Source organism: Homo sapiens, chromosome 6, assembly GCF_000001405.40.
Source record: "Homo sapiens chromosome 6, GRCh38.p14 Primary Assembly".
NCBI classification, from domain to species: domain Eukaryota; kingdom Metazoa; phylum Chordata; class Mammalia; order Primates; family Hominidae; genus Homo; species Homo sapiens.
The window spans coordinates 35,994,320-36,014,063 of record NC_000006.12 but is presented as its reverse complement, the minus strand read 5'-3'; the positions used below and the strand labels follow the sequence as shown (position 1 = coordinate 36,014,063).

Below are 19,744 nucleotides of genomic sequence, written 5' to 3'. Positions count from 1 at the left end.
AACCAATGGTCTTACTCATGGCTGCCGAGCAGCATTTCACAGCTGCCAATAGGAAATTTGGAGGCAGGAGAGTGGCTAGAACACTGAGCTAGAAATCAAGGACCTTGTTTCTAGCCCCATCTCTACTCACACTTATTCCTGTGACCTTGGTAAAGTCATATTTATTTGGCATTAATTACCTTAGCAATAGTAATGCCATAGTTGTAACAGTAAAACATAAGTAAAATTACTTTTTGTCTGAGCATGCACTTCAGCCCTGACTACGTTAAAGTTATATTTGTTGTTGTAGTCAAATCCCAATTATCTAGCTCAGTTTACACATGAAAAATCTTCATACTTTTTACTTTCAACCCCTGCTAAAATCTAAATAATGAAAAACAATTTAAAACCAAATTGGTTTTCTTGGTTGATTAATGATGATTCTGTTGTTTTAGATGATCTAAAAGTTAAAGCAGGTTTTCTCAATCTCAGCATCATTGACATTTTGGACCAGAAAATTCTTTCTTGTGGAGAATTGGCCTGTGTATTCTGTGATGTTTAGCCTCTACCCACTTGCCAATTGCAAGAATCAAAAATGTCTCCGGGCCAGGCACGGTGGCTTATGCCTGTAATCCTAGCACTTTGGGAGGCCGAGGCGAGCAGATCACCTGACCAGCCTGGCCAACATGGTGAAACTCCATCTCTACTAAGAATACAAAAATTAGCCAGGCATGGTGGCGCATGCCTGTAATCCCAGCTACTCAGGAGGCTGAGGCAGGAGAATTGCTTGAACCCGGGAGGCAGAGGCTGCAGTGAGCCAAGATTGTGCCACTGCACTCCAGCCTGGGCGAAAGAGCAAGACTCCATCTAAAAAAAAAAAAAAAAGTCTCTGGACATTGCCACATGTACACAGGGGAACAAAACTGCACCTAGTTGAGATCTACTGGGCTAAAGGATAATAAAGTCTTATTTTATAAAGTTGTTTCCTTACATAACTAAGTCCTTAAGCACAGGACTTCATATTCTCTATTTTCTACTAATTTCTACATGTCACAGGTCAAGGCCAGACAGAGTAAATGTTTGGTAAAAATTTTAGTTCCATGCTCTCCTCTCCTCCACAGAGGGTCATAATTAGAAAGAACACACTTTATGCACCTGCCTCGCACTTGGGGACTCTCCTAATTGGGAATAACATGAATGTGTTAACTGCCCTTCCACCTATCAATGTCACACCTCAAAACACTGTCCTTGTCAAAAGAAAACAACAGCAGTCCATTTTTCTACTGGAAAATTGGTAGGTTTAATTCTTCCCAAATATCCTGTGAAAACACAGAACTGATTACATGCTGGACGTATATGGCTTAGTTCTTGACATATACATAGCACTTGGTTCTGAAGCTAAGGTGATTTAGTCCCCCAGGGAACATGTGGCGATGTCTGGAGACATTGTTATTGTTAGCTGTCACAGCTGAAGCGGGGAGTTCTACTGATATCAAATGTGGGAATGTGTAGAGACGAGGGATGCTGCTAAACATCCTGCAATGCACAGGACAGCCCAACAACAAAGAATTATCTGGTCCAATATGTCAAACTCTCATTAGTGCTGACAAGACTCTACTTTTTCTTGGCTATGTGGGCCAAATGCCTTTTCTTGGCTATGCGGGCATTTTCTTTGGAGAAACTAACCAAGTCTCTGCTCCTCTCTCTCACAGCTGCTCATGGCACAGGTTCCTACGATGCGTGCTTACAATCTTTCCCTTCCTAGAATGGATGTGTATGTATCGATTAAAGGATTGGCTTCTGGGAGACTTACTTGCTGGTATAAGTGTTGGCCTTGTGCAAGTTCCCCAAGGTAAGGAAGATATGAAGCCTGTTCATCCAAAGACAATGTATCAGACCTTGTCCACGTGCCCAGGGTAAACAATTACTTGTGCTACATGAATAGAAAAAAAATATTGAATTTTATTCACAGCATTACCATTTGTTCCCTTATCTGCCAGATTTCTAACCTCTCCAGGGTGGTTCCAAAAGACTTGGTTTACTTTAGACCCCTGAATGCTTTCCAGAGTATTTGTAACACCCACTCTTTGTTATTTTTTCCCTTCACTAGTTATTTCATGCTTATGGCTATAATACATCTCACTTGGCATTGGTTTTACCTAGAAAGGGGAAGGATAGGTGGGCATAGTGGCTCATGCCTGTAATCCCAGCACTTTGGGAGGCCAAGGCAGACAGATTGCTTGAGCTCAGGAGTTCCAGACCAGCCTGGCTAACACAGTGAAACTCTGTCTCTACAAAAAAATACAAAAATTAGCGGGGCCTGGTAACGTGTGCCTGTAGTCTTAGTTACTCTGGAGGCCAAGGTGGGAGGATCACCTGAGCCCAGGAGGTCGAGACTGTAGTGAGCAGTGATCACACCACTGCACTCCAGCCTGGGCAACAAAGCAAGACCCTGTCTCAGAAAAGAAAAAAAAGGTGAAGGATAGGAAACATAGCATGCCAGCATCTCTCCAGCAAGTGACAAGCAATCCAGTGCTCACTCTTTGGTCTTCCAAGTAGCAGTTCAGATGTAAGACAACAAGATCACACAGATAGGTGTGGGAGCTTATCTGGGCTTTAAAAACTCATTTCCCAAATAGGAATCAACAACTTTGTAACAGTGCCATAAATATTGCTTCCAGAGTCCCACAATGGGCAAGTCCAGTTGTAAGAGTCACTATGCTCAGAGAATCCCAAAGGTAGGGCTTCCAACTGGATATTTATCTTTCATTCACAGTCCTCTTGGTCCAGATGGAATATACTATTTGGGTTCATTTTTACCATAAGCAATTCTGCCCGGTAACACAGCTGACGTTCTACCATTATAAGGTTTCCAGGGAAACAGAGCTAGAAAGTTAACCCCAGATCAAATTCATCCTCAAAAAATAGAATGGGTTTTATAAATCCTTTACTCACAGTAGTTTATAGTTCCCCAGATAGTCTTTAAATACCTCCATTTCTCTATTTTTCTGAGGCTCAACAGGCAGGGTTGAAGCTTGTGATCGGGCAGGTTGTGGATAGCACAAAAGAGGTCAAGAACATGAACAAGCTGTGGCTGAAATCCAACTCTAGCACAGCACTGTTAATTGGGGAAAACAGATAACTTTTTAAATCTTTATTTACTTATTTGTTTCTAAATTATCAAATAGTAAAATTGGCGCTTTTTTTCCCCTTTTGGTGTATACTCAGATTGATTTTAACCCACTTGGCTGGGACTGGTGGCTCATGCCTGTAATCCCAGCACTTTGGGAGGCCTGGGCAGGCAGATTGATTGAGATCAGGAGTTTGAGACCAGCCTGGGCAACATAGTGAAACCCCATCTCTACTAAAAATACAAAAATTAGCTGGGCATGGTGGCACACACCTGTAATCCCAGCTACTTGGGAGGCTGAGGCAGGAGAATTGCTTGAACCCAGGAGGTGGAGGTTGCAGTGAGCCAAGATCGCACCACTGCACTCCAGCCTGGGTGACAGAGCGAGACTCCATCTCAAAAAAAAAAAAAAAAAAAAGAATACATATATAGATTTGTGTAACCACCACCACAATTGATGCAGAGTAGTTCCATCACCTCCAGAACTCTCTCATGCCATGCTTTTTAAGCCACATACCCCCCAATCTATAACCCCTAGCAACCATTGATCTGTTCTCCAGCACCATAATTCTGTCTTTTTGAGCACATCATATAAATGGAATCATACAGTATGTAAATTTCAAAGGCTGGCTTCTTTCATTATGCATTGTGCCTTTGAGATTCACGCAAATTGTTGTGTGTATCAATAGTTCATTTTTATTGCTTAGTAATATTCTACTATATGGATACATCGCAGCTTGTTTATCCATTCACTTGTTGATAGACATTTTGTTTCCAGTTTTGGTCTCTCACAAATGAAGTTGCTATGAACATTCACGTACAGGTTTTGAGTGAACATAGTTTTCATTTTACTAAGCTGGAGCTGGATCACTGGTCACATGGTACGTGTATGTTTAACTTTATAAGAAACCACCAAACTGTTTTCCAGAGTGGTTTTTCTACCATTTTACATCCCCAGCTGCAAGCATAAGAATTTCATTTCCTCCACATCCTCATCAGCACTTGATATTGTCAATATTTTTAAAATCAAACTTTCTATTTTGAGATAATTATAGATTCACATGCGTTTGTAAGAAACAACAGATAGAACCCATGTACCCTTTACCCAGTTTCCCCAATGGTAATATCTTGCAAAGCTATGGTTCAGTCTCACAACCAGGATATCAGCATTGTTTCAGTCAAGATAGAGAACACTTTCACCACCACAAAGATTCCTCAAGTTGTCTTTCTATAGCCACCACTACCTGCCTCCTGTCCCTAACTCCTCTTAATCCCTAGCAATCATTAATATGTTCTTCACTTCTATAATTTTAACATTTCAAGAAAGTCATCTAAAGGGAATCATACAGCATATAACCCTTTGGTATTGGTTTTTTTCCCTCATAATTCTTTGGTGATTCATCCAGATTGTTGTATATATGAATTGTTTATAACTTTTTATTTTTGAGTAATAGTCCATGGTATAGATGTATCACAGTTCATTTAAACATTTACCCATTGAAGGATATCTGGATTGCTTCCAGGCTTTATTATTACACATATAGACGATATGAACATTCATGTGCAGGTTTGTTGTTGTTGTTGTTGTTGTTGTTGTTGTTTTTGAGAGGCAGTCTCACTCTGTCACCCAGGCTGGAGTACAGTGGCACGATCTCGGCTCACTACAACCTCTGCCACCCGGGTTCAAGCAATTCTCCTGCCTCAGCCTCCTGAGTAGCTGGGATTACAGGCGCACGCCACCACACCCAGCTAACTTTTGTCTTTTAGTAGAGACAGGGTTTCACCATGTTGGCCAGGCTGGTCATAAACTCCTGACCTTAAGTGACCACCCACCTTGGCCTCCCAAAGTACTGGGATTACAGGCAAGAGCCACAGCGCCTGGCCTCATGTGCAGGTTTTTAAAATAAATGTTAAGTCTTCATTTATCTGGGATAAATGCTTAGGAGTGTAGTACATTGCTGGAGTATATAGGAGTTGCCTGTTGCCTTTTTTCACCAACCTGTTTTCCAGAGTGGCTTAACATATTACCTTCCCACTAGCAATCTATCAGTGATCCAGTTGCTCTGTATCCTCACCAACATTTGCTGTTGTCACTATTTTTTATTTTAGCTATTCTGATAGTCATGTAGTGATATCTCATTATGGTTTTAGTTTGCATTGTCTTAATGGCTAGTGATATTTAACACCTTTTCATATGCTAATTTCCATCTGTTATTTTCATAAAATGGCTCTTCTCGTCTTTTGCCCATGTTCTAGTTAAATTATGTTTTTACTGTTGAGATCTGAGAATTCTTTGTAGATTCTGGATACTAGTTATTTTGTCTTTTGTGTTTTGCAAATATTTTCTCCCAGTCTGGAGCCTGCCTTTTCATACTCTTAACAGTCTTCCAGAGCAAAAGTTTTGATTTTGATAGGCTCGTTTTTAGTATCTTTTATTTTAGCCATTCTAAGAAGTACGTAGTGGTATCTCATCATTGTTTTAATTTGCATTTCCCTAATGGTTAATGAGGTTGAACATCTTTTCATGTGCCTAACTTGCTATCCTCATATCTTCTTTGAAGGGTCTGTTCAAGTACTTAGCCTATTTTTCCACTGAGGTTTTATTTTTTTCTTGTTGTTAATTTTTGAGCTTTTGTTTTGTTTTGTTTTGTTTTGTTTTTAGAGACAGGATCTTGCTCTGTCACCCAGGCAGGAGTGCAGTGGTGTGAACATAGCTCACTGCAGTCTAGAACTCCTGGCCTCAAGCATCCTCTTGCCTTGGCCTCCTAAAGTGCTGAGATTACAGGCATGAGCCACCATGCCCGGCCTCAACACCATTTTTTTTTTTTTTTTTTTGAGACGGAGTCTCGCTCTGTTGCCCAGGCTGGAGTGCAATGGCTCAATCTCGGCTCACTGCAAGCTCCGCCTCCCGAGTTCATGCCATTCTCCTGCCTTAGCCTCCCGAGTAGCTGGGACTACAGGCGCCTGCCACTATGCCTGGCTAATTTTTTGTATTTTTAGTAGACACGTGGTTTCACCGCGTTAGCCAGGACGGTCTCGATTTCCTGACCTCGTGATCTGCCCGCCTTGGCCTCCCAAAGTGCTGGGATTACAAGCGTGAGCCACCGCGCCCAGCCTCAACACCATTTTTAAAGAATATCCTCCAGTGAATTGTTTTTGCACCTTTGTCAGAGATCAAATAGGCATCTTTTGTGTGAGTCTCCTAAATTTTCTTCATTCTGTTCCATTGATCTATGTGTCTATCCCTTTACCAATACCATATCTTGACAGTGAGTTTTAAGGTTGAGTGATATGCTTCCTCCAGCTAATTTTTTTTCCAAAATTGTTTTAGCTATTCTTCCGTATTCATTTTATAATCAGCTTATCTAAATTTACCAAAAAAGGTTTTTGTTTAGATTTTGATAGGTATTCCATTAAATCTATAGATTATTTCAGGAAGAATTGGCATCTTTATTATGCTGTCTTCCAATCCATGATTATGGTGTCTCTCCATTTATTTAGGTCCCTTGATTTCCTTCATCAGCCTTTTGTAGTTTTCAGCATAGAGATCCTACGTGTTTTGTTAGATTTGTGCCAAAGTATTTCATTTTAGGGGTTTAAATGATGGTTCAGTCTCCAATTATTCATTGTTTGCATATAAAAATACAATTGATATTTGTGTGTTTTTCTTGTATCCTGAAACTCCTTTATTAGTTCTAAGAATTTTTTGTAGATTCCCTGGAATTAACTACATTGACAATCATGTCATCTGTTAATAGGGACAGTTATGTTTATCTTTTTAATATGAATGGCCTTAATGACTTTTTATTGCTTGTTATACTAGCTAAGACTTCCAATACTATGTTGAATAAGGGTGGTGAGAATAGACATTCTTGCCTTCTTCCTGAACATAGGGGGAAAGCATTCAGTCTTTTACCACTAAGTATGATGTTAGCTGTAGGATTTTTGTTGATGTCCTTTATTAGGTTAGGGAAGTTTTCATCTACTCCAGTTTGCTGAGAAATTTATCATGAATCAATGTTGTATTTTGTGAAATTTTTTTTGCATCTATTGATAAGGCCCATGTGGTTTTTCTCTTTAGATGATTAATATGGCAGGTTACATTAATTGATTTTTTTGAATATTGAACCAGCCTTGCATTCTCAGAATGAGAGTATTCACACTAAGTTACCATATGTGCTAGTTGCATTCCTGCAAAAAGAAATTTTCATGTGGCAGCTACAACCAAAATGGCCCATTTGTATTAACATAGTCACTTTATTTCTATGAATAAAATTTCTAGCATATTCCTATGGTGCTGCAATGAGACAGCTAAACTCTTGGAATTGATGCTTTAACTATGAGCCCCCTGCCAGTTTCTACTTATATTTAAATAAAGACCAAAGTTGGAGGATATCCCATTGCTAAATTAAAAAGTCATCAGTATAATCTTGTATCAAAATAAGAATGGCATTAGAGTAATATCTAGCATTCACCACAACACCTAGCACATAGTAGGTACTCAAAAGATGTTTGTTGAATAAAAATGATTGCATAACTGGTTATGGTAGCTCACACCTGTAATCCCAACACTTTGGGAGGCTGAGGGAGGTGAATCACTTGAGGTCAGGAGGTCGAGACCAGCCTAGCCAATATGGCAAAACCCTGTCTCTACTAAAAATACAAAAATTAGCCAGGTGTAGTGGTATGTGCCTGTAATCCCAGCTACTCGGGAGGCTAAGGCAGGAGAATTGCTTAAACCTGGAAGGCAGAGGCTGCAGTAAACTGAGATCACACCACTGCATTCCAGCCTGGGTAACAGAGCGAGACTCCATTGGAAAAAAAAAAGATTTCATAGCTATATGAATGAATGAATCCAACCAGCTCTTAATACTTGATTAAGGGATTGAACATTAGTTTAATTGATGTGAATAATAAGATAATTTGTAGTGTGAATAATTCAAAAATTGTACTTACATTTGAATACCTGATGACAATAATTTTATTCAAATGAAACAAAAATACTATATGATGAAGACCTTATTAAAAAGGTGCTGGATCTTCCTTACAGTAGAATTCCAATTTATAAATGTAGAATTAAAGAAGAAAATACAAAATCACCTTCATGAAAACACTACAGTAATAATTGTACATAAAATCTACCCAGTGGATGCTAAAACCAGTGGGTGAAAATTTGCAAACTAAGAAACAGGATTTGCATATTTTCAAAGTATCTCCCTCGAGATATTTATTAACTACCCCACCACTTTACAATAGAAAACCTAGGAGAAAATAGCTTAACTAAGTGATTAATGTGAGCATCACCAGTAGTAAAATATATGGATATCATGAATCCTGTGATATGATACAATGAGAAAGATACAACATCATTTCTGTAGTATTCTTGCCAAAAGTGTATAACCTTAGTACAATCATAAGGAAATATAAGACAAACCGAAATTGAGGAGTGTTTGACAAAATAACTGATCTATTAATACTCTTAATTTGTCAAAGTCATGAAAGACAGGTAAAAATTAAGGAACTGTTATAGATTGCAGGAATAAGGGGAAATAACAACTAAATGAAATGTGAGACTCTGGATAGAATCCTAGAACAAAATGAAAGACATTAGTAAAAAAACTGATGAGATTCAAATAAAGTTTTTAATTTCTAATGTTAATTTCCTAGCTCTGATCAATATACTATGACTATATAAAATATTAACATTAGGAGAAGCTGTGGAAGGGATATATGGAAACTGCATTATTTTTGTAACTTTTCTGTAATTCTAAAATTAGTTTAAAATTTTTGAAAATTTTAAGGTGTTGGAAAGTTTGGAAATTTTAATTCCCTCTATTTCACTATGGCCTAAACTTAAATGAGACTAGATAACTTAATTCTCAGATTGTTAACCCAGTAATTCTCTTACCTTCCCAGCATTGGTTAGTTATTTAAAACTAACAAAAGATTTTTTCTTCATGCTACACGCTGCTTTTCAAGAGTAAATGGGGGCCAGGTGTGGTGACTCATGCCTGTAATCCCAGCACTTTGGGAGGCCAAGGCAGGCAGATCGCTTGAGCTCAGGAGTTCAAGACCAGACTGGGCAACATGGTGAAACCCTTGTCTCTACTAAAAAAAAAAAAAAAAAAAAAAAATTTAACTAGGTGTGGTGGTGCAAGCGCCTGTAGTCCCAGCTACTTTGGGAGGCTGAGGTGGAAGGATCACTTGAGCCTGGGAGGTTGAGGCTGCAGTGAGCCAAGATCGCACTCCAGCCTGGGTGACAGAGCAAGACAGTCACACACAAAAAAAAGAAAAAAAGTAAATAGGGGCTATTCAACATTACAACATTATAATGGAGTGCATACACAGTATATTAAAGCAAGAAAAAGAAGTACAAAGTATAAGAATTATAAATGAATAAAGCTTCATTATTCACAGATGATTTTTATGCAAAGAATTCAAAAGAATATAAAGAAAATTGATATGACTTTTTTAAAAGCAAAAAAAATTTTAAAAAGGCATAAAAAAAGAAAAACAAAGAAAATAGTAAGATTTTATGAATGTTGCTGGATACTAAATCAGCATATAACAATCAGTTATGCTTAGGTGCAATGGCTCATGCCTATAATCCTAGCACTTTGGGAGGTTGTGGCGGGTGGACTGCTTGAGCCCAGGAGCTCAAGACCAGCCTGGCAACACAGTGACACCCTGTCTCTATGAAAACTACAAAAAATCTAGATGGGCATGGTGGTGCATACCTGTAGTCCAGCTACTTGAGAGACTGAAGTGGGACGATTCCCTGAGCCTGGGAGGTTGAAGCTGTAGCGAGCTGTGATTACACCACTGCACTCTAGCCTGGGCAACAGAGCGAGACTCTGTCTCAAAAAAAAAAAAAAAAAAAGCAGAAATAAAATTGTGTTCAGTATAACTCTTAATATAAAGTTCAAAATGGGAGCAAATTAAACTGTATTGTGTAGGGATACGTACACTACTGGTAAAGAAAAGCAAAGAAATAGGCCGGGCATGGTGGCTCACGCCTGTAACCCCAGCACTTTGGGAGGCCGAGGCAGGCAGATCATGAGGTCAGGAGATCGAGACCATCCTGGCTAACATGGTGAAACCCCATCTCTACTAAAAATACAAAAAATTAGCTGGGCGTGGTGGCAGGCACCTGTAATCCCAGCTACTCAGGAGGCTGAGGCAGGAGAATGGCGTGAACCCGGGAGGCGGAGCTTGCAGTGAGCCAAGATTGTGCCACTGCACTCCAGCCTGGGCAACAGAGTGAGACTCTGTCTCAAAAAAAAAAAAGAAAAAAAGAAAAGAAAAGAAATTATTATCATAAACGCCAAAATAAGGAATCCTTCTGTGGGGAGAGGTGGTGTTGTAATCAAAGACCTGGGTGGTACTTACGTAAGTGTTTGTTTTATAAATATTAAGTAACCTTGACATCTATTAATCTATTTTAATGCATTTTCTACATGCATGTTATATTTCACAATAAAAATGGAGATTACTAAATTAATTACCAAAACTATTACTAAAGTAATTAGAGCAATTAACACAGTACAATATTGCAGAGATAGACAATTAGGCCAATGAAACAGAAAAAAGAGTCACACGTATATGAATCACATGATGTGTATCAGATATGTCACTACAGAGACAGGCTGTTAATGACAAATGATGTAAAACACTTGGGTCTCTATAAAGAAAAACATTTCAGGCCTTTACCTCACACCATACACAAAAATCTATTCCTGGTTGATTAAAGACCTAAATGTAAAAGTTAAAGCAAAAAAGACATTTTGGAATAACATAAGAGAATATCTTTATGATCCTGAGGTAGAAAAAGGTTTCTTAAGTAAGACACCAAAAGCAAAAGGAAAAGCCCAAAGGAAAAGACCGATAAATCTGAGGTAAGTACAATTTAAGAACTTCTATCTATTCAAAGCTGCTATAAAGTTTGAAAAGCGGCCAGTCACACTGATTTATGCCTGTAATCCCAGCACTTTGGAAGGCTGAGGTGGGTGAATCATTTGAGGTCAGGAGTTTGAGACCAGCCTGGCCAACATGGTGAAACCCCGTCTCTACTAAAAATACAAAAATTAGCCGGGCATGGTGGCGTGCGCCTATAGTCCCAGCTACTCAGGAGGCTGAGGTGGGAGAATCGCTCAAACAAGGAGGTGGAGGTTGCAGCAAGCCAAGATCATCACTGCACTCCAGCCTGGGAGACAGAGAGAGATGCCATCTCAAAAAAAAAAAAAGATTGAAAAGCAAATCACAAAATGGGAGATACTTGCAAAACAATACGCAACAAAGGCTTTATTTATAATATACATACTCCTATAAATCCATAAAAATAACTAGACAAGGGTGCTCAACATTATTAGTAATAAAATGGAAAATGAAATTGAAATGAGTTACCACCATACACACTAAAATTAAAAATCTAGCAGTATCGAGTGCTAGCATAGATGTGGATAATGGGAACTGTCATACATTACTGGTGGGAGTATAAATTGCACAACCATTTGGAAAACAGTTTGGCACTATTTAGTAAATGCCCCAGAAGTTGAAATTCAAGCTATATATTCTCAAGAAACTTGTAAATCCATGTACCAGGAGACATGTACAAGAATATTCATAGCAATATTGTTCATAATAGCCCCAAACTGGAAACAAAGACAGGATACCATGAACCCTGGAAACAAAGAGAATGGGAAGGTAGCAACCTTGGATTCTGATGGCTTTTTAGTTCGGTTCCAGTCTCTGATGAGGTCTAACTGCCCTTTGTACCCTTTTAATAAATTTCCTATTTTGCTTAAGCTAATTTGAGTAGATTTTCTGTTACTTGCAATCAATAGAGCCTTGCATAGGGGAAAAAATGTGGTGAAAAAATCCTATAGATTACAAGAGACTTAAGAGACATATCAACCAATGTGAGGACCATATTTGGGTTCTGATTTAGACACACAGATTGTGAAGCAAAGCACAACATGTAACAGCAAATAATTTTTTAAAGATCACCCCAAAACTCATCATACCTCTGGTTCGAGGTCTCTCGTGAGATTGCAGTTATCTCAAGGGTCTACTGAGGCTGGAGGATCTGCTTCCAGGCTCACTCATGCAGCTGTTGGCAGGCCTGAGTTCCTCCCCATTCTGGCTTCTCCATATTCACAACATGGCAGCTGGCAGGACCAACTATATGTGTTGGGCCCAATACAAAATAAAAACACAGGGCCCTTAGTTCAAAAATTATTCAGAATTTCAAGACAGTGACAGCAAAGCATTAAACGAAGTGCAAAGTCCTTCTAAGCCCAGGACTCTGTCTTGACTGCATAGATTACAAACCTTTGAAGCCACCTCTGGCAGGTAATGACCTGAATGAGAGAGCAACCAAGATGGAAACCAAAGTCTTTTTGCAACCTAATCTCAGAAGTGACATCCTGTCATTTTTGTTATAGTCTACTCCTTAGAAACAAATTGGTTAAGTCTATTCCACACTTAATGGGGAGGAAATTGTACAAGGGCAAGAAGACAATTGGCCTGGCTGGGCGCGGTGGCTCACGCCTGTAATCCCAGCACTTTGGGAGGCCGAGGCGGGTGGATCACGAGGTCAGGAGATCGAGACCATCCTGGCTAACACGGTGAAACCCCATCTCTACTAAAAATATAAAAAATTAGCCGGGCATGGTGGTGGGCGCCTGTAGTTCCAGCTACTCGGGAGGCTGAGGCAGGAGAATGGCATGAACCCAGAAGGTGGAGCTCGCGGGGAGCCGAGATCGCGCCACTGCACTCCAGCCTGGGCAACAGAGCAAGACTCCGTCTCAAAAAAAAAAGAAAAAGAATACCAACTGGCCATTGTGGATCATATTAGAGACCCTCTACCACAACAATCATTTGTAAGATAATCAGGGAAATTTGAACACTGAGTGGATAATGATGATATTGTACTTAAATTAGAAGAGTATTATCATTTAGAGACACATACCAAAATATCTACAGATTAAATAATCGAATGCCTTGGATTTGCCTCAAAGTAATATAGGGTGAGAGAGGAGTAGAAGCATAGATTGGTTATGGGTTAACCATTGTTGAAGTGGATGATGGGTATATGGAATTCATTATACTCTATTTTTGGATGTGTTTGAAATGTCTTATAAAAAGGAGCCTTGCTTATCTAAGACAATAAACCACCTCACTAAATTCATAACTGAATTTAGATGAGTATATCAGTATGATGTAAATTGAGGACAGACTCTTAGGGAAGGAAATAGGGGCTTGAAACATCAAAAGGATGACACTATGCCTGTTAGTCCATTTGCTTCAAAATTTCCAAATTCTCATGGTGCTTCTTAGAAAAGAAAGTAAGTATTAGAGAAGCAGCTGAAGGAAGAGGCTGGAGTGATTGGCCTATGGAAGAGAACCAACACATACCAACTTCAAGTCAGTGAAGTGTGATTCTTGCCTTGCTCTCCAGTTTTATCTTCAGCCCTGGAGAATTCCCACGGCCTGCTTGTGCTAGACTAGGCATAAGGATGGGGCTGCTTTTGAGCTGTTGGAATTAGGGGTCTTATTGCTATGGTATTTGCTTTACATGTTTAGTATTAAGACCTTGCAGTGAATGATGTTTCAGCCTATGATATTGAATTAAAGTGTAAAAGCATGTGGCAAAATAGGAAGAGAAGCTAGGAATCAAAGAAGATAATAAAAAGTGCTAATGAAGGATTGTATGTCCAGAAATACTATTACCACACTCAGTCAGCTATACACATGGATGATTTTTATTTTAAATATTCTTTACAGTTTTTATTTAAGGTGACTTTTAAAGACAAGCTGCTTTTTCTTAAATTATCTTGTTTTTCAGGCCTGACACTTAGTTTGCTGGCAAGGCAACTGATTCCTCCTCTCAACATCGCTTATGCAGCTTTCTGTTCTTCGGTAATCTATGTAATTTTTGGATCGTGTCATCAAATGTCCATTGGTGAGTTCAGCACTGAAATACACATGCGGTGGATGAAGTTTCCATCTTGATCATATACTTATTGCTAAGGTACCCAACATAAAGCTTTAAGATAGAAAGAAAGGAGGCAGGAGGTGGACATTCTATCCATACAGTTAGTGTTCAGATTGTAGAAATAAATACTTCTAGTGTATCATTATTGTCAACACCAGAAAACAGGCCAGCAAGATGTTTCCCAAAGAAATTAAAGGGCAGAGGTACTTTCCTTAAGAAATCATCACACATTGGAATCTGACTTCCCTCAACCCAGAAGATGCAGGAATGATTGTGTCAATACTCCTAGAGCAGATACTTCTTTCATCTGAACCATAATAACCAAACTCCATGGGCTGACTTGTAATACAGCATGCCAGCTTATTAATTTACAGTGAGAAAATGTTATCACAGTAATCAAAACACTGACATCCATAGGATAAGTACTTCCCTTCCCTGAGTCAAAAGTCCATCTACTAATTTATAATTAGAAATAACTATTACAGAGGCCAGACTAATTAAAGGTCATATGATCAGCACATTTACTTCACCTAGGTGAGCCTGCATAGAAATCAAATCACAAAATTCCCCCATAAGTTTAGAAGGTCATTGCCAACATTTACTCAGTGATGTGCCTTTTCCTGGATTTCTCCACTGAACTGACCAATCCACCAACATTTACCATTCTGAATGACACATTCTTTATATATGTTTTTATGTTCAGTCTGATTAACATCCCATCCTTCCAGACGTGAAGTGCTACTTTTCCTTTTTTAAGAATAGCTTGGCCAGGTACGGTGGCTCATGCCTGTAATCGCAGCACTTTGGGAGGCCGAGGCAAGTGGATCATGAGGTCAGGAGTTTGAGACCAGCCTGGCTAACATAGTGAAACCCCACCTCTACTAAAAATACAAAAAATTAGTTAGGCGTGGTGGCGGGTGTCTGTAATCCCAGCTACTTGGGAGGCTGAGGCAGGAGAATTGCCTGAACCCGGGAGGTGGAGGTTGCAGTGAGCCAAGATCACACCATTGCACTCCAGCCTGGGCAACAAGAGCGAAACTCCGTCTCAAAATAAATAAATAAATAATAAAAATAAAGAATAGCTCATGTCTTTATTCAATCTGCTATGTGTTGATTTTACATTTGAACACCAATAAAACAATTTTATTCCTATATTTCCAAGTTTCTGAGGAACCTCACAATCATTTCCAAATACTTATAATAAGGGTTGTTAGAGATTTATTTATGTTAGGTAAATTTAAAGTTAAGATATATCTTTGCTCTCTTATGTGTTATGACAATATGAGGACTAAACAAAACAATGTTTGAAATAAGTTTAATTTACCTCAGTGTCAGTATTATTTTTCTTCCTATTGTTATTGATTGCTTCATTATCTTTTCTTTTCTTTTCTTTTTTTTTTTTTGAGATGGAGTTTCGCTCTTGTTGCCCAGGCTGGAGTGCAATCGTGCCATCTCGACTCACTGCAACCTCTGCCTCCTGGCTTCAAGTGATTCTCCTGTCTCAGCCTCCTGAGTAGGTGGGATTACAGGCATGCACCACCATGCCCAGCTAATTTTGTATTTTTGGTAGAGACGGGGTTTCTCCATGTTGGTCAGGCTCGTCTCAAACTCCTGATCTCAGGTGATCCACCTGCCTCAGCCTCCCAAAGTGCTAGGATTACAGGCGTGAGCCACCATGCCCGGTGATTGCTTTCTTTTCTAATATTTTCACTGCCATCTCACTTTTAACCTTCTCTAAGAGCAGACACAGCAGCTGAGCCTGACACCCATTTCAGTCAACTTCTCTATTCCACTCAACATACCCATAACACAAAGAGACTAAATACCTAAACCACCACCATCTAAATCCCATGAGTTGGTCACAATATGTGGAGACACAGTTCTCTTTTTTGATTTTTCTTACTTCTCAATGGCCACTTTCAAATGAGAAAAGTTATTCAGTTGAAGGACAATCCAGAATTCAACCATACCTTGCTTTTGTCAATATCAGTTTACCTGGACTTGAAACTTCACCTTCTACCTAACATCTTCTTCCACAGGTTCCTTCTTCCTGGTGAGTGCTCTGCTGATCAACGTTCTGAAAGTGAGCCCATTCAACAACGGTCAACTGGTCATGGGATCTTTCGTCAAGAATGAGTTTTCGGCCCCCTCCTACCTTATGGGCTATAATAAATCCTTGAGTGTGGTGGCAACCACAACTTTTCTGACTGGGATTATTCAGGTAGGATCTGAGTCTTCAAATCCCTGAAAAGGAACTGAATAAAGGGGCTATAAACAGACCCCTTCCTTATACTGCTCCTGTGATCCACTGTGATATACCTGGAACTTCAGTGATTTATTTTTTGAAAAATCAGAGGCTGTGTGAATAGCGTGTCTCCTTAGTGACAAAACTTCTCTCTCCTCAGAAATCATCTACCACTGATTTAGGATGAGATATTAAACATTCTCTTCAGTCCTTTCACCTCTAAGACAAAGGGTCTAAGGGATGATGGTCCAGAGCAGTGGTCCCCAACCTTTTTGAAACCGGGGACCAGTTGCAAAAGAAGACAATTTTTCCACAAATGGCAGGTCGGGGCCAGGGAGGGTGGTGGTTTTGGGATGAAACTGTTCCACCTCAGATGACCTGGCATTTGATTCTCATAAGGAGCATGCAACCTAGATTCCTCGCATGTGCAGTTCACAATAGGGTTTGTGCTTCCCTGAGAATCTAATGCTGTGGCTGATCTGACAGAAGGTGGAGAGCTCAGGCAGTGATGCTTGCTTGCCTGCTGCTCACCTCCTGCTGTGCAGCACCCGGTTCCTAACAGGCCACAAACCAGTACCAGTACTGGTCGGTGGCCCCAGGGGTCTGGGGACTCTTAGTCCAGAGCTCCACTCCTGATCTTACCTTTTCAAAAATTGCTTCATATTCTTTTTTTTTTTTTAGATGGAGTTTTGCTCTTGTTGCCCAGGCTGTAGTGCAATGGGACAATCGTGGCTCACTGCAATCTCCGCCTCCCAGGTTCAAGTGATTCTCCTGCCTCAGCCTCCCAAGTAGCTGGGATTACAGGTGCATGCCACCACACCCAGCACATTTTTATATTTTTAGTAGAGAAGGGGTTTCACCATGTTAGCCAGGCTGGTCTTGAACTCCTGACCTCGGGTGATCCACCCACCTCGGCCTCCCAAACTGTTGGGATTATAGGTGTGAGCCACTGCACCCAGCCAAAAGTTGCTTTATATTCTATCAACAAGAATGGACTCATTTAGCTGGGCATGGTAGCATGTGCCTGTAGTCCCAGTTACTCAGGAGGCTGAGGTGGGAGGATCACTTGAGCCCAGGAGGTTGAGGCTGCAGTAAGCTGTGATCATGCCACTGCACTCCAGCCTGGGTGGCACAGCGAGACCCTGTCTCCAAAATAATAATAATAATAAAAATAATGATGGCCTCACAGGCTCACACACTATCTTTGGGTTAGTAAGCTTTAGAGCCAGATCTGGAATCCTTTTTCTGCATTGACAAGGACCACAGCTAAAGGACAATAATATGAATGACTCATTAAAATCTCAAAACTTATTTTGGCTCTGTCTTTAATTTCCTCTGAGAGTCTATCACCAAAAGTTCATCTACTGAACTAGTCACATCCTCCAGGCTTATTTCTCTTTTTTCTCAACTAACCCAGTCTCTAGTTGATTTTCACTGATCTCCCCTGGGACTGTCTTTCACTAAGTAAAGATTTATTGGGTACCTACAAAGGCAGGCTATCAAAGTGGGCAGACTCCAGCCCTGACACTATGAGCTGTGTGAATTTTGGTAAATTATTTTACCTTGGTGGGCCTCAGTTTCCTCATGTATAAAGCAGGAATAATATTTGTTTTGCAGGGTTCTTAGGAGGATTTAGTGAAAAAAATGCATGCAAAGTATTTAGCCTAGAGCTTGTCACATAGTAAGCATCAATAAGTTATAATTAGTGGGCACAGAGAAATGAATTTGGTACTTTAACAGAGACCAAAAATTTAAAAAACAATATATAGTTTCCTGTGGTTAAAAAGTTTAATCTTGTGGGATAAGACAAAATACACAAGCAACCTTTTAATTATCAAGGGGCCTCATGCATGCTTTCTCTTCTCCTTCAAGCCTCAGCTTTTTTCATCTAAAAAAGGAAGAGGGCTGGGCATGGTGGCTCACATCTGTAATCCCAGCACTTTGGGAGACTGAAGCAGGAGGATTGCTTGGGGCCAGGAGTTTGAGACCAGCCTGGGCAACATAGGCAAACTCTGTCTCTACAAAACAAAATAAAAAAAAAAAATAGCTGGGTGTGGTGGTGCACGCCTGTAGCACACTACTATGGTCCTTATTTTAAGAAAACAAGGGCATAGAGAGGTTAAGAAAATTGCCCAAGGTCACATAGCTAAGACACCAAACTGGGATTCAGTTTTAGGGTTGTCTGATTGTAGAATCTGTGCTCTAGGAAATCTTAAGCATAAAATAATATTCATATAAGAGTTTAGTGCCAAAAGAACATGAAGTTAAAAAATAACCTCTAGTTGAGTCGAAGTTATCTGGGAAGGAAACAACTATTTATTGAGCCCTCCCTTTCATTCATTCAACATTTAGTACTGGCTTCCTATAAGAATGGCAGATAGGTTTCATCTCACAGGCCAACCCTGACTGATTAACAGTGGCTGCCTAGAATATTATGTTAACACTGAACGTGATGCCATATTACAGTGGGCAAGAAAGAGTTCTAAGGCAATTGCAGATTTTTGCCATTTACAAGATGGAAGGCAGGGATGGTATGAAGAAGAGTAACATATATTTGCATATATGAGTGATACATATTTGTCACTATTTTCACATCTGAGCTAGGTATTTTACATGTGTGATGAAATTTAATCTATTCAAAACACTTTACATTGAATATTATTCACATTTTATAGATGAGGAAACTGAGGTTCAAAGAGTTAACTTGCCCACACTTACACAGCCAATGAGTGGCTGGGCCAGGACTGAAGCCAGATTCTCCAAGCCCAGGAACCATGCTTTTTTCACCACACTCCTTAAAGGAGAGGAATTTTACTGAGCTCTTGAAAGATGATGCAGGCCAGCCACAGTGGCTCACGCCTGTAATTCCGGCACTTTGGGAGACCAAAGCGGGTGGATCACTTGAGGTCAGGAGTTCAAGACCAGCCTGGCCAACTTGGCGAAACCCTGTCTCTACTTAAAAATACAAAAATTAGCCAGGCGTGGTGCTGGGCACCTGTAATCCCAGCTACTCGGGAGGCTGAGGTGGGAGAATCACCTGAACCTGGGAGGCACAGGTTGCAGTGAGCCAAGATTGTACCACTGCACTCCAGCCTGGGTGACAGAGCAAGACTCCGTCTCAAAAAAAAAAAAAAAAGAGATGATGCACATGGATTGGCAGAGATGGAAAAAAGAGGGGCTCATGCATAAGCACAGAAGTAGGAGTCAGCCAGTCACGCAAGAAATAGGAAGCAGACTGGCCTGACTAGAGTAAAATAGAACATTGGGCGGCAATGACAGGAGATTAAGGGAGAGACAGTTGGCAGGGCGCAGTGGCTCACGCCTGTAATCCCAGCACTTTGAGAGGCCGAGGCGGGCGGATCACAAGGTCAGGAGATCGAGACCATCCTGGCTA

At 40.2% G+C, this 19,744-nt stretch overlaps 1 protein-coding gene and 1 long non-coding RNA gene across 8 annotated transcripts in view; one reads left to right on the top strand and one right to left on the bottom strand.

Moving 5' to 3' along the window:
* SLC26A8 (solute carrier family 26 member 8) overlaps positions 1-19,744 on the top strand; it is an 81,126-nt gene that overhangs the window by 10,578 nt on the left and 50,804 nt on the right. For all 6 annotated transcript variants that reach the window (XR_926055.4, XM_011514294.4, NM_052961.4 and 3 more), the window contains exons 3-5: positions 1,692-1,831; positions 13,956-14,072; positions 16,145-16,326. Coding sequence is in view for 5 of the 6 variants with exons in the window: in XM_011514294.4 (XP_011512596.1) it covers positions 1,692-1,831; positions 13,956-14,072; positions 16,145-16,326 (439 nt within the window). In the remaining variant the exon portion in view is untranslated. The remainder of the gene's footprint in view (positions 1-1,691; positions 1,832-13,955; positions 14,073-16,144; positions 16,327-19,744) is intronic.
* On the bottom strand, positions 1,791-16,206 carry LOC105375034 (uncharacterized). 2 transcript variants are annotated; one of them, XR_926746.3, is made up of 4 exons: positions 16,101-16,206; positions 12,133-12,289; positions 2,970-3,097; positions 1,791-1,912 (listed from the first exon to the last, which is right to left on the bottom strand). It is a non-coding gene; the product is annotated as an uncharacterized LOC105375034 (long non-coding RNA). The 2 variants fall into 2 exon arrangements; XR_926745.3 differs by lacking the exon at positions 16,101-16,206 and having other exon boundaries at positions 12,133-12,681.